The 19,923-nt window shown below is 47.4% G+C and overlaps 1 long non-coding RNA gene across 4 annotated transcripts in view, besides 3 other annotated features; it reads right to left on the minus strand.

Annotated features, from left to right (window-relative positions):
* Window positions 1–5,039, minus strand: part of LOC105369625 (uncharacterized) — a 71,439-nt gene extending 66,400 nt beyond the window's left edge. For all 4 annotated transcript variants that reach the window (XR_001748978.2, XR_001748979.2, XR_001748976.2 and 1 more), the window contains exons 1-2: window positions 4,883–5,039; window positions 2,731–2,841 (exon numbers count right to left, since the gene is read on the minus strand). This is a non-coding gene — a long non-coding RNA (uncharacterized LOC105369625). The remainder of the gene's footprint in view (window positions 1–2,730; window positions 2,842–4,882) is intronic.
* Window positions 3,021–3,231: a silencer, noted in NCBI's record as "fragment chr12:6402555-6402765 (GRCh37/hg19 assembly coordinates)". NCBI's record gives its function as "represses an EF-1alpha promoter that drives an FKBP-Casp9 reporter gene in an ReSE screen in HepG2 liver carcinoma cells and K562 erythroleukemia cells {active_cell/tissue: HepG2 | K562}" and the evidence as "EXISTENCE:reporter gene assay evidence [ECO:0000049][PMID:32094911]".
* Window positions 5,285–5,785: an enhancer, noted in NCBI's record as "H3K27ac hESC enhancer chr12:6404819-6405319 (GRCh37/hg19 assembly coordinates)". NCBI's record gives its function as "activates a minimal SCP1, AML or CMV promoter by ChIP-STARR-seq in naive H9 embryonic stem cells {active_cell/tissue: H9 hESC(naive)}" and the evidence as "EXISTENCE:reporter gene assay evidence [ECO:0000049][PMID:30033119]".
* Window positions 19,128–19,848: an enhancer, noted in NCBI's record as "H3K27ac-H3K4me1 hESC enhancer chr12:6418662-6419382 (GRCh37/hg19 assembly coordinates)". NCBI's record gives its function as "activates a minimal SCP1, AML or CMV promoter by ChIP-STARR-seq in naive H9 embryonic stem cells {active_cell/tissue: H9 hESC(naive)}" and the evidence as "EXISTENCE:reporter gene assay evidence [ECO:0000049][PMID:30033119]".

Here is a 19,923-nt window from a genome sequence, read left to right on the forward strand (position 1 = left end):
CCGTCGGCGCGTGGACTGGATCCTGTTCCGTCGGTGTGTGGACTGGATTCTATTCCCGTCCGTGTGTGGACTGGATTCTATTCCCGTCCGTGTGTGGACTGGATTCTGTTCTGTCGGCGTGTGGACTGGATCCTCTTCCGTCGGCGCGTGGACTGGATCCTGTTCCGTCGGTGTGTGGACTGGATCCTCTTCCGTCGGCGTGTGGACTGGATCCTGTTCCGTCGGTGTGTGGACTGGATCCTGTTCCGTCGGTGTGTGGACTGGATTCTATTCCCGTCGGTGTGTGGACTGGATCCTGTCCCGTCGGTGTGTGGACTGGATTCTATTCCCGTCGGTGTGTGGACTGGATCCTCTTCCGTCGGTGCGTGGGCTGGATCCTGTTCCGTCGGTGCATGGACTGGATTCTGTTCCGTCGGTGTGTGGACGGGATTCTATTCCCGTTGGTGTGTGGACTAGATCCTCTTCCGTCGGCGCGTGGACTGGATCCTGTTCCGTCGGTGTGTGGACTGGATTCTATTCCCGTCCGTGTGTGGACTGGATTCTATTCCCGTCCGTGTGTGGACTGGATTCTGTTCTGTCGGCGTGTGGACTGGATCCTCTTCCGTCGGCGCGTGGACTGGATCCTGTTCCGTCGGTGTGTGGACTGGATCCTCTTCCGTCGGCGTGTGGACTGGATCCTGTTCCGTCGGTGTGTGGACTGGATCCTGTTCCGTCGGTGTGTGGACTGGATTCTATTCCCGTCCGTGTGTGGACTGGATTCTGTTCTGTCGGTGTGTGGACTGGATTCTATTCCCGTCGGTGCGTGGACTGGATCCTGTTCCGTCGGTGCATGGACTGGATTCTGTTCCGTCGGTGTGTGGACGGGATTCTATTCCCGTTGGCGTGTGGACTAGATCCTCTTCCGTCGGCGCGTGGACTGGATCCTGTTCCGTCGGTGTGTGGACTGGATCCTGTTCCGTCGGTGTGTGGACTGGATTCTATTCCCGTCCGTGTGTGGACTGGATTCTGTTCTGTCGGTGTGTGGACTGGATTCTATTCCCGTCGGTGCGTGGACTGAATCCTGTTCCGTCGGTGCATGGACTGGATTCTGTTCCGTCGGTGTGTGGACGGGATTCTATTCCCGTTGGCGTGTGGACTAGATCCTCTTCCGTCGGCGCGTGGACTGGATCCTGTTCCGTCGGTGTGTGGACTGGATTCTATTCCCGTCCGTGTGTGGACTGGATTCTATTCCCGTCCGTGTGTGGACTGGATTCTGTTCTGTCGGTGTGTGGACTGGATTCTGTTCCATCCGTCTGTTTATCTATCCTTATGCCAATATCACATCGTCTTGATTACAGTAGCTTTGTAGTAAGTTTTGAAAATTAGGAAGTATGAATCCTTTAACTGTGTTCTTTTTCAAGTTTGTTTTGTTTATTTTAGGTCCCATGCAATTCTGTATGAATTTTAGGATCAGCGTGTCCATTTCTGGGGTTTGGGGGGACAGTTTCTATAGAGATTGCATTGAATCTGTAGATAAATTTGGTATCAACATCTTAACAATATTAAGTTTTTAGACAATAAACATAGGCTGTCCTTTGATTTTATTTAGACCTTGTTTAATTTCTTTCAACAATATTTTTCAGTGTACAATTATTGCATTTCTTTGGTTAAATTTATTCCTGGCAGGGCGCAGTGGCTCACGCCTGTAATCCCAGCACTTTGGGAGGCTGAGGCGGGTGGATCACGAGGTCAGGAGATTGAGACCATTGTGGGTAACACAGTGAAACCCTATCTCTACTAAAAATACAAAAAATTAGCCAGGCGTGGTGGCGGGCACCTGCAGTCCCAGCTACTTGGGAGGCTGAAGCAGGAGAATGGCGTGAACCCGGGAGGCAGAGTTTGCAGTGAGCCGAGATGGTTCCACTGCACTCCAGCCTGGGCGAAAGAGTGAGACTCCGTCTCCAGAAAAAAAAAAAAAAAAAAAAAAAAAAACGCTTATTCCTAAGTATTCTATTCATTTTGATACTATTCTAAGCAGACGGTCTTCTTAATTTCATTTTCAGGTTATTCATTGCTAGTGCATAGAAATGCAACTGATTTTTGTACATAGAAGAGCCCGGAACTAGTAATGTAAGTGATCTTGTATCCTGCAACTCTGCTGAACTGTTTTATAGCTCTAATTATTTTTTGTAGATTCTAATTATTTTTGTAGATTCCTTAGGGTTTTCTATATATAATATCACGTCATTTGCAAACAGAGATAGTTTTACTTTTTCCTTTCCATCACACAAGTTTTTCTAAATGCAGGATGACACTTTGTGACATTGATATGCTAACGAAGAGCATTCATCTAATTGCAAAGGGTTTGTTCAAGTAGTGTATCTTAGTGACACACCAGAACCTATGACTCAGGACCAGCATTTTACAACCTTAATGTTAGAAATAAAATACCAGGATTTCTTGAACTTAGAACTCTGGCACAGTTGCAACATCAACGCTTTACTATTTCCCAACATTGGATTTTTTTTTAGAAAGAAATCAAAAACATATTATTGAGTATATTTTAAAACCACTGAGATTAAAAGGTAAACTTCATGTTATGTATATTTTACCACAATAAAAAAACAGTTGAAATTCAACATCAGAACATGAAGTACTTTCCAACGAAGCCAAAGGTTGGATAAGAAATCTATTTTCCACCATCACCCAGGGTTAAAACAATCTTCCAAATTTTGAATGTAGTGTACTTACAGATGTAGTTCCTGGTGGTGTGGCAAATCACCTTCCCCAAGAATGTCCACCACAGTAGTCTGACACCAAGCTGAATATAAACAATCTAATGAAGATGACAATGTCCTTCTCCTTGATTTAAAACAGAGACACTGTTGTTACTTTTTTCGTGTTTTAATACATTATTTTAAAATTTGAGACAAAATTTCTTCTGAGACAGGGTCTTGTTCTGATGCCCAGGCTGGAGTGCAGTGGTGTCATCATAGCTTACTGCAGCCTTGACCTCCCAGGCTCAAGCAATCCGACCACCTCAGCCTCTGCAGGCAACTGGGACCACAGGTGGTGCACCACCACACCAGCAGTGACAATTTTTTTTTTTTTTCCAAGACAGGATCTCACTCTATCACCCAAGCTGGAGTGCAGTGGCATGATCTTGGCTCACTGCAACCTTCGCCTCCCGGGTTCAAGTGGTTCTCCCACCTCAGCCTCTCAAGTGGCTGGGATTACAGGCGCCCACCACAATGCCCGGCTAATTTTTGTATTTTTAGTAGAGATGGGGTTTTGCCATATTGGCCAGGCTGGTCACGAACTCCTGACCTCAAGTGGTCTGCCTACCTTGGCCTCCCAAAGCACACAGATTACAGGCATGACCCACTGGTGGCGCCTAGCTGACAATTTTTTAAGTTGACCCAAAATTTTGGCACTTTGTGTGTATTAAACACCCATTAAAATGACCCACGAAAGCCCAAGTTTGAGACATTTATTTGATAGAAAGAGCACTGGGTGGCCAGGCGTGGTGGCTCACACCTGTAATCCCAGCACTTTGGGAGGCCGAGACGGGTGGATCACCTGAGGTTAGGAGTTCGAGACCAGTCTGGCCAACATGGTGAAACCCTATCTCTACTAAAAATACAAAAAAATTAGCTGGGCGTGGTGGCAGGTGCCTGTAATCCCAGCCACTTGGGAGGCTGAGGCAGGAGAATTGCTTGAACCCAGAAGGTGGAGGTTGCAGTGAGCCGAGATCCTGCCATTGCACTCCAGTCTGGGTGACAGAGCAAGACTCTGAAAAAAAGAAAGAAAGAAAGAGAGAGAGAGAGAGAGAGAGAGAAAGGAAGGAAAGAAGGAGGGAAGGAAGGAAGAAAGGAAAGAAGGAGGGAAGGAAGGAGGGAAGGAGGGAGGGAAGGAGGGAGGGAAGGAAGGAAGGAAGGAGCGACCGAGCACTGGGCCACGTGTGGTGACTCAAGACTCTGTCAAAAAAGAAAGAGAGAGAGAGAGAAAGAGAGAAAAGAAAGAGTGAGCACTGGGCCAGGTGTGGTGGCTCAAGCCTGTAATCCCAACACTTTGGAAAGCCAAGGCAGGAGAATTGCTTGAGTCTAAGAGTTAAAGACAAGCCTGGGCAACACAGAGAGACCCATCTCTGTTAAAAAAAAAAAAAAAAAAAAAAAAGTTTAAAGAAAGCACTGAACTATGAGCCAGGAGCTCTAAATTCTAGTCCTGTTTTTGACCTTGGCTGTGTTAAGCAACCTTTATAAGCCAGTGTTTACTCATTTTCAAATGGATTGATATTTCTTGCCCTGGCTTCCTCACAGGGCTTCTGTGACAAGCAAATGAGAAAATAGATGCACAAATGCTTTGTAACCTATAAGACTTTGTGCAAATGTGTGAAATGAAATAATCTTTCCAAAGTCCACCTGTCCCTCTAGCTTCCCTTTCTCTTGGTTCCTTTATACAACATATATACATCTCTGCCTGTTGCCAAACAACTGCCTCTCCCAGCTTCACATTTATGTATCTGCCACCACTTTGGGGAACAAACTCTGCTTGTCCCTGGTGGAGAAAGGGGCCAGGTCTCCTAATCCTGCTCTAACTCTTCCTGGAGTCTCTCTCTCTCCATCTCCTGGGCTCCTCCTCTAGTTATGCAGAGGGAACAGGGCTTCTGATCAGCTTAGAGCTGCCCGGTTCTCTCTCACTCAGTGGACGTGGTCCCAGCCCTGACTGCAGAGATCTGTCCCTTCACTCCACTGAGCTCCTTGTCCCACCCTTCCAAGGAGCCCCACATCTGAGATTCCATAGACAAAGACACTCCCCCAACCCCCCCACCCCCCAACCCTGCTGCTGTAGGCTGGGAAGCTGCGAGGAGCTGGGAGCCAGAAAAGGAAGAGGACAGCCCCACCTTGCAGACCCCACCCTCTAGGAATGGATTTATGCTTCATTGTTGGTGGGAACCATAGCAACCACAGATGACCATGAGTCAGTAGATAATAAACAGGATTCTTTACAAACAGAGGTTGCCTGGGGCAACCCTGGGAAGGTGAGGCCCTGGATTTCCTGGTCTGGCCTCTGAGAACCTCCTAGCACCCCAGAACTCCCAGACAGAATGTTAGGTAATGCCAATGAGCACAGATCAATCATCTGCACAAGTAAGTCCTTCTGGGGTTCCTATTCCAGACACTCTGGCACTCTGAGCTCCCCCATCCAAAGCTTCTTTCCGTTCCTCAAACTCACCATGTGGTCTCTTGGCTCTTAGCTTTCCTACCCAAGCCCCCAACTCCTTGAAATTCTCTTCCCTCTTCTTACTCACAAAATACCTATTCATTCTTCAGACCTCGGCTTAAAGGTCAGGACTCCGGCATAAATGTCCCTGATCCCTGAAAGTGTCAGAAACCTCAGAAAAGAGGGCCAGACATGGTGGCTCATGCCTGTAATCCCACCACTTCGGGAGGCTGAGGTGGGTGGATAACTTGAGGTCAGGAGTTCAAGACCAGCCTGGCCAACATGGTGAAACCCTGTCTCTACTAAAAATACAAAAATTAGCTGGGCGTGGTGGCAGGCGCCTGTAATCCCAGCCACTCGGGAGGCTGAGGCAGGAGAATTGCTTGAACCCAGGAGGCGGAGGTTACAGTGAGCCGAGATCTCACCACCGCACTTCAGCCTGGGTGGGAGAGTGAGACCCCAGAAAAGATGAGATCTTATTTCTCCCTCACATAGTCTGAAGACGGAGCACTTTCCATGGAGTGCTGATGAAGTGCCAGGGTCCTAGGCTCCTTCTGGTGTGCCACCCCTCGGACAAGTCTCTCAGCCTCAAGGTCCAGGATGGCAACATCTGTCCAAACAGCAAGATGGAGAACAGGACAGGATAGGAACGAAGTAGGAGAGGGGCCAAGGACTCATGCTGGCATCCCGCCAGCCTTTTGACACGAGTCACCCTTCCGCCACTTTATAAAAAAAGGTAGGCCTCTTATCAGTGGTAGGCAATAGCAGGGTAGTGAAAACCGTTTCCCCACCACCGCCAAGGCAGGGAATAGAGGCTGCATTGTCCTTAGAGAATTGTAAATGAGTAAGCAACCGAAAGTTCTTTGTTATCCCCTGGGCCAGCAATCCTAAACAATGTCAGTGATAAAACATTCCTCCCTGAAAAAGTATTTTATTGGTCTAAGTTCTAAATCTAAATAAATGCTGTCATTACCACTGAGTTTTAATTATATGTGAACTTCGGCCGGGCACAGTGGCTCACGCCTGTAATCCCAGCACTTTGGGAGGCCAAGGCAGGTGGATCACCCGAGGTTAAGAGTTCGAGACCAGCCTGGCCAACATGGTGAAACCCCATCTCTACTAAAAATACAAAAATTAGCCAGGCATGGTAGTGCACGCCTGTAATCTCAGCTACTCAGGAGGCTGAGGCAGGAGAATCACTTGAACCTAGGAGGCAGAGGTTTCAGTGAGCCGAGATTAGGCCACTGCACTCCAGCCTGGGTGACAGAGTGAGACTCCATCTCAAAAATAAATAAATAAATAAATAAAATGTGAACTTCAATTTAACTTGTTTTTATAACTTAGCATTTAAATAACATTATCGGCCGGGCAAGGTGGCTCACGCTTGTAATCCCAGCACTCTGGGAGGCCGAGGCAGGTGGATCATGAGGTCAGGAGATGGAGACCATCCTAACACGGTGAAACCCCATCTCTACTAAAAATACAAAAAATTAGCCGGGCGTGGTGGCGGGCGCCTGTAATCCCAGCTACTCGGGAGGCTGAGGCAGGAGAATGGCGTGAACCCGGGAGGCGGAGCTTGCAGTGAGCCGAGATCGCGCCACTGCACTCCAGCCTGGGCGACAGAGTGAGACTCAGTCTCAAAAAAAAAAAAAAAAAAAAAAAGATAAATAACATTATCTCCTATGCAGAAATGAAAGCTGAAAACTCGTTATTCAGTGGGCCCCCGACACCCGCAGACTCAGCTCCATGTGTTTCTTACTTCTGGCTGGTCAGTGCCTCCGTTCGTGTGGAGCTGCTATGGAAGCAGGAGCTTGGGAGAGCCAGAGTGACACCATTTTACACTCAACTCCATCTTTTTGTTTTGTTTTGTTTTTTAATTTAGAGATAGGGTCTCCCCGTGTTGCCCGGCTGGTCTCAACTCCTGGTCTTAAGTAATCCTCCCGACTCGGCCTCCCAAAGTGCTGAGATTATAGGTATGAGCCACAGCACCTGGCCAATCAACTCCCATCTTAAAACTAGAAAGGCACACACACACAAAAAGCTAGAAAGGCACACTCCTTGCTGGTCACAGCCTATAGTCATGGTGTGTTTACAGTTGAGGAAACAGTCTAAAGATGCCTACAAAGACACCCTCCGACAACAATGGAGAGTCCACATGTCCCGATACTCGTATCAACATATGCTCTGAAGATAATCATAGTTACACCTTGATGTATTAATACTTACACACTAAAACGTCAAGGACAGTTTTCTTTAAATCAACAGAGTAATAAACTCTCTCATGCAGTCTGCTCACCCACATGTAGAAACAGCTTAGTTTAACCTTTACATCGACAAGACCCCTATACGAGAAAAACTTAAAACAAAGCCGGGGCAGTCCTCTGCTGGCTTTCTGAGGACGCCCTCCTGTGTAACAGGATAGCTTTCAATAAACTTTCTTCTTACTGCACTCTGTGACTCGCCTTGAGTTATTTCCTGCACGAGATCCAAGAACCCTCTGGGCTCTGGATCAAGACCCTTTTTTCCACTAACAGAACCACGTTATCTCTGCCTTTCAAAGGTAGATTCAAAAGACACAATGATAGTGCCCTGATTGCAAAGACAAAGGAATAACTTGAGTTATTTTTCTCTTATCTACTTGGACTTTGTATTTGTGTTAAAAATTCAAAACAGTGAAAAGGAGGCCGGGTGTGGTGGCTCACACCTGTAATCCCAGCACTTTGGGAGGCCACGGTGGGAGGATCACTTGAGGCCAAGAGTTCAAGACCTGCCTGGCCCACATGGCGAAACCCTGTCTGTACTAAAAATACAAAAATTAGCTGGGCATGGTGGCGCACGCATGTAATCCCAGCTACTCGGGAGGCTGAGGCATGAGACCTACTTGAACCCAGGAGGCGGAGGTTTCAGTGATCAAAAAAAAAAAAAAGCAGTGAGATAGAAGGCAAATTACAAGTTGTAATATTTTTGTTTTATGAGGGCCAATATGAAAACTTCAATTCATGATTATTGCTGAAAATAACTTTTGTAGAGGAAGGGGGTGCGTTAAGAAATAATCCACGCTGGTCAGGCGTGGCGGCTCATGCCTGTAATCCCAGCACTATGGGAGGCCAGGCAGGTGGCTCTCTTAAGAACAATCATAATAATAACCCATGCCACATAGAACACTTCAGGCACCACACGACCTCTCAACTTTCCCAAATTTTAAGATAGAATGCTTGGAGCGTAAAAGCTTCATGGCCCCGAAGAAAGGATGCTTCATAACATCGGTTTGAGTTGAACCGAGTGGATAAAGAAAATGTGATATATATTATGGAGTTGGAGACCATGATTCTAAGTGAAGTAACTCAGGAATGGAAAACCAAACATCGTATGTTCTCACTTATAAGTGGGAGCTAAGCTATGAGGGTGCAAAGGCATAAGAATGATATGATGGACTTTGGGGACTCAGGGGGAAGGGTGGGAGAGGGTGAGGGATAAAAGTGTACAGTGTACACTGCTCAGGTGATGAGTATACCAAAATCTCAGAAACTACCACTAAAGAACTTATCCAGGTAACCAAACACCACCTGTTCCCCAAAATCTACTGAAATAAAATTTTAAAAAATAAATAATAATATCAGTGTGGGCAAGTCTTCGTTTAATGAAATCACCACAAACCTCTTGTAGGTCTTCGTGTCTTCTCTGTCCTATATATATTTTTGTAAAGGGCAAAATGTGAAGTTAAGAAGATGTGTTGGGATGTTGTGGGCTCAGATAGGGTGAAGCAGGAGTAGGGACAGTATTACTTTCCATATCCCTAAAGCTCCCCAGGAATACTTGAGTGCTAAGGGAGAGTCAGGTAGTAAACACTGATAGTGATAGCACCTTAAGTCATGTATGTGATAAGCTCGAGGCAGAGCTCCATGCCTTATCTATCTTAAAGATCATCATGATTCTTAAAAGCACCCAGACAAGGCCGATCTCCTGTGAAGCTCACACAGAGCCCAGGGCCAGGCTGTCTGCCACCCTGGCGGGACTGCTCTTCTCTGAATATTTTGCACAATTTCAAGAAGAGGGAAGTGAGGCCAGGTGTGGTGCTCACGCCTGTAATCCCAGCACTTTGGGAGGCTGAGGCAGGCGGATCACAAGGTCAGGAGTTCGAGAGCAGCCTGACCAACACGGTAAAACCCCATGTCTACTAAAAATACAAAAATTAGTCGGGCGTGGGCAGCGGGCACCTGTAATCCCAGCTAGTCAGAAGGCTGAGGCAGGAAAATCGCTTGAACCCAGGAGGTGGAGGTTGCAGTGAGCCGAGATCACACCTACTGCACTCCAGCCTGGGCAACAGAGCGAGACTCTGTCTCCAAAAAAAAAAAGAAGGGGGAAGTGAAAAGTTTCACATTTACTTTCAATAGATGAACATTGCCTCCTCCAGTTAAACAAACATATATCAAAGGCACTTTAGTGTTCTATATTTACTAAGACTTGTAGGAAAAAAATCTTCTTTCCCTTTTGCTCCCAATTATTGAATAATGGAAAGTCACTTTTTTTTTTTTTTTTTTTTTTGAGACAGGGTCTGACTCTGTCACCCAGGCTGGAGTGTAGGGGGCTGGATGATGACTCAGTGCAACCTCCACCTCCCAGGCTCAAGTGATCCTTCCACCTCTGCCCCCCAGGTAGCTGGGACTACAGGCAGGAGCCATCACACCCGGCTAATTTTTGTTTTTTTATAGAGGGTTTTCACCATGTTGTCCAGGCTGGTCTCGAACTCCTGGCTTCAAGTGATCCACCTGCCTCGGTCTCCCAAAGTGCTGGGATTACAAGCGTGAGCCACGGAGCCTACCTCAGTCATTAAAAAACATTTTTTTTACACGTCTCCAATTTGCTATCATTTATCAATCACGTCTCTGCTCATTTATTTATTCCTACCATGTTCTTAGATTAACTTACCACTGAGAAATGATTCTACTGTAAGTAATGCATTGAACAATGATCATGAATACATCTTTTGGAAACCTCCGACTTACTGGTGATATATCTTCTTGTTAATTTGCTCTGCACCCTAATTATTCTAGCAATAAATAATTATTCATCCACTGATACACTCGATTATATCATAAACATAAACCATACTTACAATATATCAGGTAATGTTCTAACTAAGTACTTTATATATTAACTCATTTGGTCCTCACCACAACCATATGATGTAGACACAAATATTATGAAGATTCTGTGGCACAAAGAGGTTAAATAACCTGTCTAAGACCACACAGCCCATAAGCAGCAAAACCAAGATTCAGACCAAGGCTGCCTAAATCCACACATGAGCCAAACCCCCGCACATATTGCCTCTCTTTGAAAAAATTTGGGGGTACAGAGGTAGCTCTGTCCATCTCACTGGGGAAGAGTACAATCTCAATTAACTTTTTCTTTTTAAGTTGAATATATATTTAAGATATATTTCTGCCATCCTGGACAGCACAGTGAAACTTTATCTCTACAAAAAATACAAAAATTAGCCAGGTGCAGTGGCAGGTGCCTGTGGTCCCAGGTACCTGGGAGGCTGAGGTGAGAGGATCACTTGAGTCCAGGGAGGTCAAGGCTACAGTGAGCCATGATCACACCACTGCATTCCAGCCTGGGCAACAGAGCAAGACCCTGTCTCAAAAAAAAAAAAAAAACATATATATATATATATATATAAAATTTCTGTTTTAATTATATATCAATAATTCTAGTGATACGCAGAGAGAATGTGAGAGACCAAATGGGGCAAAATATCAGTAATCGTAGGTAAAGGGTATACAAAAGGTCATTACATTGTTCTTGCAAATTTCTAAAACTTTGAATTTTTTAAATAAAAAGTTAAAGGGAATTATTTCATCTTAAATGTTAACATTAATAATATGGTAAACGTTACATTTTAAAATATAAAAAAAGATTTTAGATTCAAAAATATACACAGATGTATGCAGCTTTTCAAAATGCTATTGATAGTAGTAATAGATCCAAAGTTTGCAGGCAAAACAGTCTTTTTTTTTTTTTTTGAGATGGAGTCTCGCTCTATCACCCCGGCTGGAGTGCAGTGGTGTGATCTGCACTCACTGCAACCTCTGCCTCCCAGGTTCAAGCGATTCTCCTGTCTCACCCTCCAGGGTAACTGGGATTACAGGTGCACACCACCACGCCCAGCTAATTTTTTGTATTTTAGTAGAGACGGGGTTTCACTGTGTTGCCCAGGCTGGTTATGAACTCCTGAGCTCAGGCAATCCACCTGCCTCGGCCTCCCAAAGTGCTAGGATTACAGGCGTGAGCCACTGGCCACAGGCAGTTTTAAGGAACATACCTGCTTTTATCTCATTGGCCAGATCTTGCTACGTAGTCACTTGTATCCACTCCCCACAGGATAGTTCCAGGAAATCAAATTCTAAGATGGGGATATGAAGGTAAGAGGTTGATTTGGAAGTCTCTTGAATTTGACCCTTGTGGAGAAATGAAGAGGGATTAGGCGGTAGGCGAATGATGCAGCAGCCACAGGCAGCTCTGCAGCTAGGATGGCCCTGCAGAGTTGCCCCCAGCTGGAACAAGGGGCCCAGACTTTAATACTTCCACATCAGCCAGCCAGTGGATACAGGCAGCCCCAGGAAAAGGAGCAGAACCTTGGGTGAAGCAGTTCTTCAGCTGAAGCAATTGCTGGGAGAGGAGACACAGCTGAAGCTGTCAACAGTATCCACCACATTCCCATTTTACAGACAAGGAAGTTGAGGTATATAGCAATCAGCTGTGTGTGGTGGCTCACGCCTGTAATCCCAGCACTTTGGGAGGCCAAGGTGGGTGGATCACTTGAGGTCAAGAGTTCAAGGCCAGCCTGGCCAACAATGTGAAATTCTGTCTCTACTAAAAATACAAAAATTAACCAGGCGTGGGGGCACGCGCCTGTACTCCCAGCAGCTCGGGGGACTGCAGCAGAAGGGTCACCTGAGCCTGGGAGACCGACATTGCAGTGAACCGAGATCACGCCACTGCACTCCATCCTGGGAAACAAAGCAAGACCCTGTCTCAAAAAAAAAAAAAAAAAAAAAAAAAAAAAAAGAGTATAGCAATTAAATAACTTTCCCAAGATCACAGAGCTGGTAAATGGTTGTATCCATTCTCCAACACCACATTAGTGCTGCATAACAAGCACCCAAAACTACTAACAGGCTAATAATAAAAATGTACTTTTGCACATGAATCAACCAGGTTGGCTAAGTCATTCTGCTGATTTGGTCCAAGTTAGTCAGATCTCAGCTGGGCTCCCTCGTACGTTTGTGGCTATGGGTCAGCTTTCCTCTGCCTGGTCTAGGATGGCCTTAGCTAGGATGACTTACTCTCCTGCACGTGGTCTCTTGTCCTCCTGAGCTTGTTCCTCATCATGGTGGGAAGCTTCCCAGACAATGAATGTGGACAAAGCCTTTGGAGCTCCAAGACTAGAACGAGTCCATCATCACTTCTATCACATTCTATTGGCCAAAGCAAATCACAAGGCCAAGCGCAGAGTCAGTGCGGAAGGATCTTACCAAATAGCATAGACACTCAGAGATGTGAAAAATCAGGGACAAGCAACCATAGTGATGGAGCCCGAATACAAACTCCAGAGACCTCACTCCTAGAGGTCTTACTCCACAGTCATCTCCCAAGCAAATCTTTAATTAGTATCTATGTCAAGTTCCACCTAGCCTGGCACTGTGAAAGAGCAAGGTCCTGCTGTTAAGGAGTTTACGGCCTAGATAAGGAGAGGAGACACCCACCATGAAAGTTTGGTAACAAGAAAGGTAAGGCAAATGTAAGAGGGGCATATGTAGCAGGAATCAGGGGCAGAGGAGGTACTGTGGACCACGTTGGTCCAGGAGGGTCTGGGCAGGGATTAATACAGGTCTTGGAGAATGTGCAGACTTGAGTCAGATGGTAAGGAGGGATTCATACCCGCACCTCCTCCTCCTCCTCCCCCTGGTACTGATGGAGGGAAGGGAAGGAAAAGAGACAGAATGCAGGGCCTGTGAAGATAGTAGTTTTCTTTCTTTCTTTTCTTTTCTTTTCTTTTTTTTTTAATTTTTTGAGACGGAGTCTTGCTCTGAGTCACCGAGGCTGGAGTGCAGTGGTGCAATCTCAGCTCACTGCAACCTCCACCTCCCGGGTTCAAGTGATTCTCCTGCCTCAGCCTCCTGAGTAGCTGAGACTACAGGTGCGTGCCACTATGCCTGGCTGATTTTTTGTATTTTTAGGAGTGACAGGGTTTCACCGTGTTAGCCAGGATGGTTTCGATCTCCTGACCTCGTGATCTGCCTGCCTCAGCCTCCCAAAGTGCTGGGATTACAGGCATGAGCCACCGCGCCCAGCCTGAGGAAAGCAGTTTTCTAAATCCCCTCTCTGTTGTCTCCTCAGCCCCTTAGGGTTTCCTTTTATCTGCCTTGGCCATGCATTGACAGCCCAGCATGCCGAGGACAACCATATTTCATTGTTACATGGATTTACTATCCTCCTTTTGAGGACGTGGGCGAAACATCTTTGTTTTACTGAGCAGAAGGGCAGACGAGATTACCAAAGGGAGGACAAGAGTAGATGGCTCCATAAAGGAAAGGGAATGGAGCCATGGGAGGGGGAAGATCAGGAAGAGGGGTTGGAAGGAGACAGAAGAGGGAGCAGGAGAGGAGAGGACTGAATAGATACTATGAGGAAGAATATTTTGGGGAGAGCGGAGTGAAGATGCTTATTAGGAAACGATGCCGTGTAATAAGCAACAGAGCCCTGGGCTCGGGCTCCAGCCAACAGCCCTCAGTAAAGACCAGCCCTGGCCAGCAGCCTTCAGTAAATACTTCTCAAAGCTTTAGGAGTTAGATTTCTTGTGTCTTCAAATGCTGAGATGACATTTAGGGCTGAAACAAGGCAGTCAGTTTTATCTGGTTTCCTTTCCATACACTAGGCTTACCTAGAGCAACTTGTTTATTTGCCTATTGGATAGTAGTTAAAGGTGCCAGCTTGGGAATGAGGCAATTGAGTTCAAATCCTGACTTTTTTTCTTGCTAAATTTGTCATCTTGAACATGTCATGGAACCTCTCTGAGCCTGTTTCCTCCCCTGTGATAGGAGTATGATAGTATCTACCTCATAGGATTTTTGTGAGGATTAAATAAAATAAAACATATAAACTATGTGCCTTGCACATAGTTATTGCTTTAATAAGCTAGCTCTGGCTGGGCGCAGTGGCTCACGCCTGTAATCTGAGCACTTTGGGAGGCCAACTCAGGAGGATCCCTTGAGGCCAGGAATTCAAGACAAACCTGGGCAGAGAGGGAGACCCCCTTCTCTACAAAAAATTAAAAATTAGCCAGGTTTGGTGGCACACACCTGTGGTCTCAGCTACTTGGGAGGCTGAGGTGGGAGGATCACTTGAGCCTAGGAGGTTGAGGCTGCAGTGAGCCATGATCGCACTACTGTACTCCCAGCCTGGATGACAGAGCAAGATGCTGTCTCTTAAAAAATTAATTAATTAATTAATTAAAGTTAGCTATTGTTATTATTGTAATGATCCAATGATTCCAAAATTTAGTTACTTTATCCTCATTTTACATACAAGGATGGAGATATAGACAAATCAAATCCAGCTGCCCCCAAAGCCCGATGAAGGGCTTCCCTATGAACCAAGACCCTGGCATGAGACAGAGATGGCTCCAAGCCTCTGAGCCCTGCACAGTGCATTTGTATTCTAAAAACAACAAACCAACAAGTGCAGGAGCAGTAAGGGAGGCAGAGATCCGTCATTTAGGCAGGCAGAAATGATTAATGCAAAATTAAGGTAGAAACCGACACAAAATGGGCTGGGCACAGTGGCTCATGCCTGTAATCCCAGCACTTTGGGAGGCGGAGGCAGGCCAATCACGAGGTCAGGAGATCGAGACCATCCTGGCCAACATGGTGAAACCCCGTCTCTACTAAAAACACAAAAATTAGCTGGGCATGGTGGCACGCTACTGTAGTTCCAGCTACTTGGGAGGCTGAGGCAGGAGAATCGCTTGAACCCGGGAGGCAGAGGTTGCAGTGAGCCGAGATTGCGCCACCACTACACTCCAGCCTGGCGACAGAGCAAGACTCCATCTCAAAAACAAACAAACAAACAAAAAGAAAAAGAAAAAAAAAAAGATTCCACAGCTCTTGGTCCAGCACCTTTTCCTCCTTCTCTACCCAGCCGACTACTACTCATCCCTCAAGTCCCAGCACAAAGCTTGCCTCCTCTAGAAGCCATCCCTAGCTCCCCTATGTAGTAACTGGTCCTTCCAAAGTGTTCCTGCAGCTCCCAGTTTATCCCTTCTATGTCTAACTTCCATATCAATATTCTGTTCACCCATCTGTTCATCCAGTGTTCTGTTCACTACAGGGCATGTTGGCATGTGCCTGTGGTCCCAGCTACTCGGGAGGCTGAGATGCGAGGATCACTGGAGCCTCGGAGGTCTGGGCTGCAGAGAGCTGTGATGGCGCTACTGCACTCCAGTCTGGTTGACAGAGTGAGACCCTGTCTCAAAAAAAGAAAAAAAATTCCACAGCCTCTCTGGGGCCGCATGTCAAAAGGGTGCCTCGGAGCACAGACCTGGACATCCAGACATCTGACTGGAAGATATGCCACCGTAAATCCCAAGAAGGTAGATCCACCCGATTGTCTTCTAGTCACCTTCGCCATCAGCTTCCAACAGAGGCAAAGGCCTTACATTCTCAGTGTCCCAGTCTTGGCTCAGTGCAAGACAAGTGACTGATAAACCTCACGCTAAGGCAGAAAGAGCCCTCTTTCCCCTGGGGCAGACATTGCTAAGCCATCTTAGCATTCTTTCTGCTGAGCCAGCCACAGAATCCTTCTTAAGTTAATGTTCCAGGAACCCACCACCTATCAGAATTAGCCCGCAATTCAGGATCTGAGAGAATCTGGAATTTTAAAAAAAGAAAAAGAGAAAAGAATTGGCCTGCAAGGTAAACTTACATGGTATGTTTGCCCTAATGGAGAGGAACATTTAGGTGCATCACAGATGTCCTGATGCTACAGTAATCAAGCAGGAAAGGAAACTGAAATTATGGAAGAATTCCAGGTATCTAAAAAGCAAATGTGGTTCCTTTGGGTAGGGACAGAACAGTACAGGCCAGTCTATCTGCAAGTCATTCTGTCTGGGTCCTCTAGCAAGTCAATCCAGTTCAATTCCCAAACACCATGCCAGTCTTGTGTTAGGCTGGTCTCTGCCCTCAGGCATAGGTGGCACATGCTAATATCAACTTAGTAGGGAGAACAAGAGTGGTGCCTTTTAAAGAAACATAGCGGTCAAGGCAGCTGCAAGCAGGGAGGAAAGTGATCAGCCTGGCTGCGGGATTATTAGGAAAGGCTTCGTGAAGGAGGCAGTCCTAGGAAAGACCTCGAAGGAGGTAAGTGGAGTCGGAGGACAAGGCACCCAGCTGAGGGGAACAGCTTGAGCAAAGGCATGGAGTCAGGAAAGTCGAGGCCGACCCAGGGAATGGGGACACATCTAGGGATTGAGTAGGGAAGTATAACTGAGGTCAAACTGCGGAGGTCCTGGAAGGCCACAAAGAAGGTTCGTCCTCCTAAGCCACCACCCAGAGACCCTCGGCTCGGAAGCTGGGATATTCCCAGGGAGCCAACAGGGTAGACCCTCAGGAGGCCTTTAGGGAAGTCTGCCCTTCCCCAGTTTCTTTTTAAACATGCTCTTCCCTCCTCCAGAAATGTCCTTTCCTCCTTCTCAGCCCAGCTGACTGCTACTCATCCTTCGAGTCCCAACACAAAGCTCGCCTCCTCTAGAAGCCATCCCTGGCTCCCCTATGTAGTAACCGGTCCCTCCAAAGTGTTCCCACAGCTCCTGACTTAGTCGTTCTTGGTCTAACTTAAATATCAATGTTCTTTTCGCCCATCTGCCTCCCCACTAGTCTGTAAGCCCCTAGAAGTCAGGGCCTCTTATTCTTTTCTATATTCCTACTGTCTTACACATTGCCAGTAAATGTGGAAGGAAGGGGGAGGGGACGAAAGAAGAAACGGGAAGCACCAGTTCTGGCCTGAGGCACCAGAGGCTTTGCCCTGTGGCCTGTCCTCCTGGTATTCATCTGCCTCACATGACCTGGCGCCTCCTAGCTTGAACCCTCAGTTTCTGCCTCGCTCTGGGCAGGGAGGACACAGCTCCCATTAGCTGCCTCCTGTTGCTAGTGCCTGCCAGCCCCTCATTAGCCCAGATGGTCCCCACTTCTGCCCTGAGAGATATGGGCTCAGCAGAGGTCGAGGCACAAATGAGTTTCCCTGACCTTCCTGCCTGGTGAGCCCCTTATGCCAACCCCAGGCAGTTATCCTCAGGCTGCTATTGGACAGAAGCATTTGATCCTCAGAGCTCTGACCGTGGACACACACTTTACCATCAGTTATGGGGTCAATCCAGGGGCCTAATGAGGAGCATCTTACCTGGGAGAAAGTGAGGCATATGACTCAAGCTAGACATGTGAGGAAAGGCTAGGATAACCAGGAATAAAGAGAAGTATCCAGATGGCATACTCTGGTCCAAGGACCAGATGGCCCCTAGCCTCACTTGGCAGAGGCCAAGCCTCCAGCCTCCCAATTCTTTACATTTCATTCAGCTCCCTGAGAATGCTCCCCTCAGCCTGCCATAGGAGTGTGCTCTCCGCAGCACAGAGGAGTCATGGAAGTGGAGACTGTGAGAGTGACAGAAGAGAAGAAACAGAACATGGAGGCCTGCCTCCTAGGCCACACACCTGTGCCCGGCCACACCTCTGGCTTCTAGACTCCAGCTTGCCCTGGGAACCTCTCCTCCCAGGGAGGCTGAAGACAGGCCCTGGGGCAGTAGTGGGTGGAGACTGGACCTCAACGCCTAGAGGGAAGTGAAAGGGTTAACCACCCCGCCACCCACCACCACCTGCCACTGGGCCCCTCTAGCCAGCTCACCCCAGAGCACTGTAAGCCCAGGCTTGTCTTTGGTGCTCTCTCAATTTCATCTTCCCTCTTATTCCTCCTTCCCACTCCTTCTGGGAGACACTGGGAGGAGAAGCTAGGGGCCATTGGCACCAGCTGTCTCTGGGGTGTCATTTAATACTGTCCGTAATCACCACCTCCTCTCCTGGCTTATTAACTCTTTCCCTCATGGCTACTCTTGTCATCCCTGGACATCTCTCTATCTCTGTCTAGCTCTCACCACACACACACACACACACACACACACACACACACACACACACACACACACACACAGTGAATGGGAAGAGGGAAGGGCTAGGAACTAGGCACACTCTGGTTTCTTGCCACTGCAGTTCCTTTCCCACCTGACTTCACCCCCGAAAACTAGTCCCACCACCAGCTGGGCCAGGAGCAGGAGACAGGCTGGTTCAAGGAGCTGGAGGAACAGAGGACACTTCTGAACCAGCAGAGCAATCACACAACAGCAAGCTCAGAGAAAGAGAATCCCAGAGGGCAGATTTGAGGATGGACACAGGGAATACAAAATTAGAAACTGCCCAAAGATATAGATTCCTCCTCCAAACAAAATAGAGTCACCAGAGTCCGAGTGAGGACTAGAACACTCTGATCATGTATGCGTTTCATAGCCTAGATGGGAAAAGGGAATAGAGGCCTTTTCCCCTGGCAACTCAAGGAGATTCTGCTTCTGAAAGTGTTTCCTGAACTTCAGGATGCTCTGAAGAAGTAAGGAGCCGTATCAATCACTGTTGAGTTCATTGGCAGGAAATAGACCACAGTCAGGGTGAGGGGCTGGGAGCCTCAGACCTGCCACCTGCCAACTACAGGGTCTTGGGTTTCATGGTTGTGAGATTATAATGACCACACATCCACAGGACACTTCTATCTCAAATATCCAGTGCTTCTGTCAGACGAGGTGCCATGATTTGGAGAAGTGAAAAGGTGGGGAAACCGAAGCAGGAGGATCGCTTGAACCCAGGAGTTGGAGTCCATCCTGGGCCACACAGCAAGATATTGTCTCTATTTTCTTTTTAAAAAATAAATTTTAAAAATAAAGAAAATAAAGTATGGTCCTTTCATGCAATGCCCAGCATGTGTCAGTCCTTCCACAGCATCTTTTTCTTTTTCTTTCTTTTTTTTTTTTTTTTTTTTTGAGATGGAGTTTCACTCTGTTGCCCAGGCTGGAGTGCAGTAGTGCTGTCTTGGCTCACTGCAACCTCCACCTCCCAGGTTCAAGCGATTCTCCCGCCTCAGCCTCCCAAGTAGCTGGGACTACAGGCGCCCGTCACCATGCCCAGCTAATTTTTGTATTTTTAGTAGAGTCGGGGTTTCACCATATTGGCCAGGCTGGTCTCCATCTCCCGACCTTGTGATCCGCCCGCCTCGGCCTCCCAAAGTGTTGGGATTACAGGCGTGAGCCATCGCGCCTGGCCCCACAGCATCTATTTTAGCAGCCACCGCAAGGGCTGGGTGACCCTGGTGTAGCCGGGAGTGGGCTTATTTGCAGGTGAACTGGGAGGGTGCCCCCACCTGAGTCTTAGGTCATAGGAGAAGTGCGGGTCAGGCCTCAGCTGCCTATCCCTGGAGCAAAGGCAAAGTCCAGGATAGCCTTCCAGTATCACCTTCCACCAGGCAGGCCAGCCGGTCCTCTGAGAGATAAGGCTCACACTTTGGACTCCACACAGCGACGGGGCCCCCTGCCCCTCCAGCTGGCAGGCGGGCTCCCTGCCTGCT

This window comes from Homo sapiens, chromosome 12 (assembly GCF_000001405.40).
Source record: "Homo sapiens chromosome 12, GRCh38.p14 Primary Assembly".
Classification (NCBI taxonomy): Eukaryota; Metazoa; Chordata; class Mammalia; order Primates; family Hominidae; genus Homo; species Homo sapiens.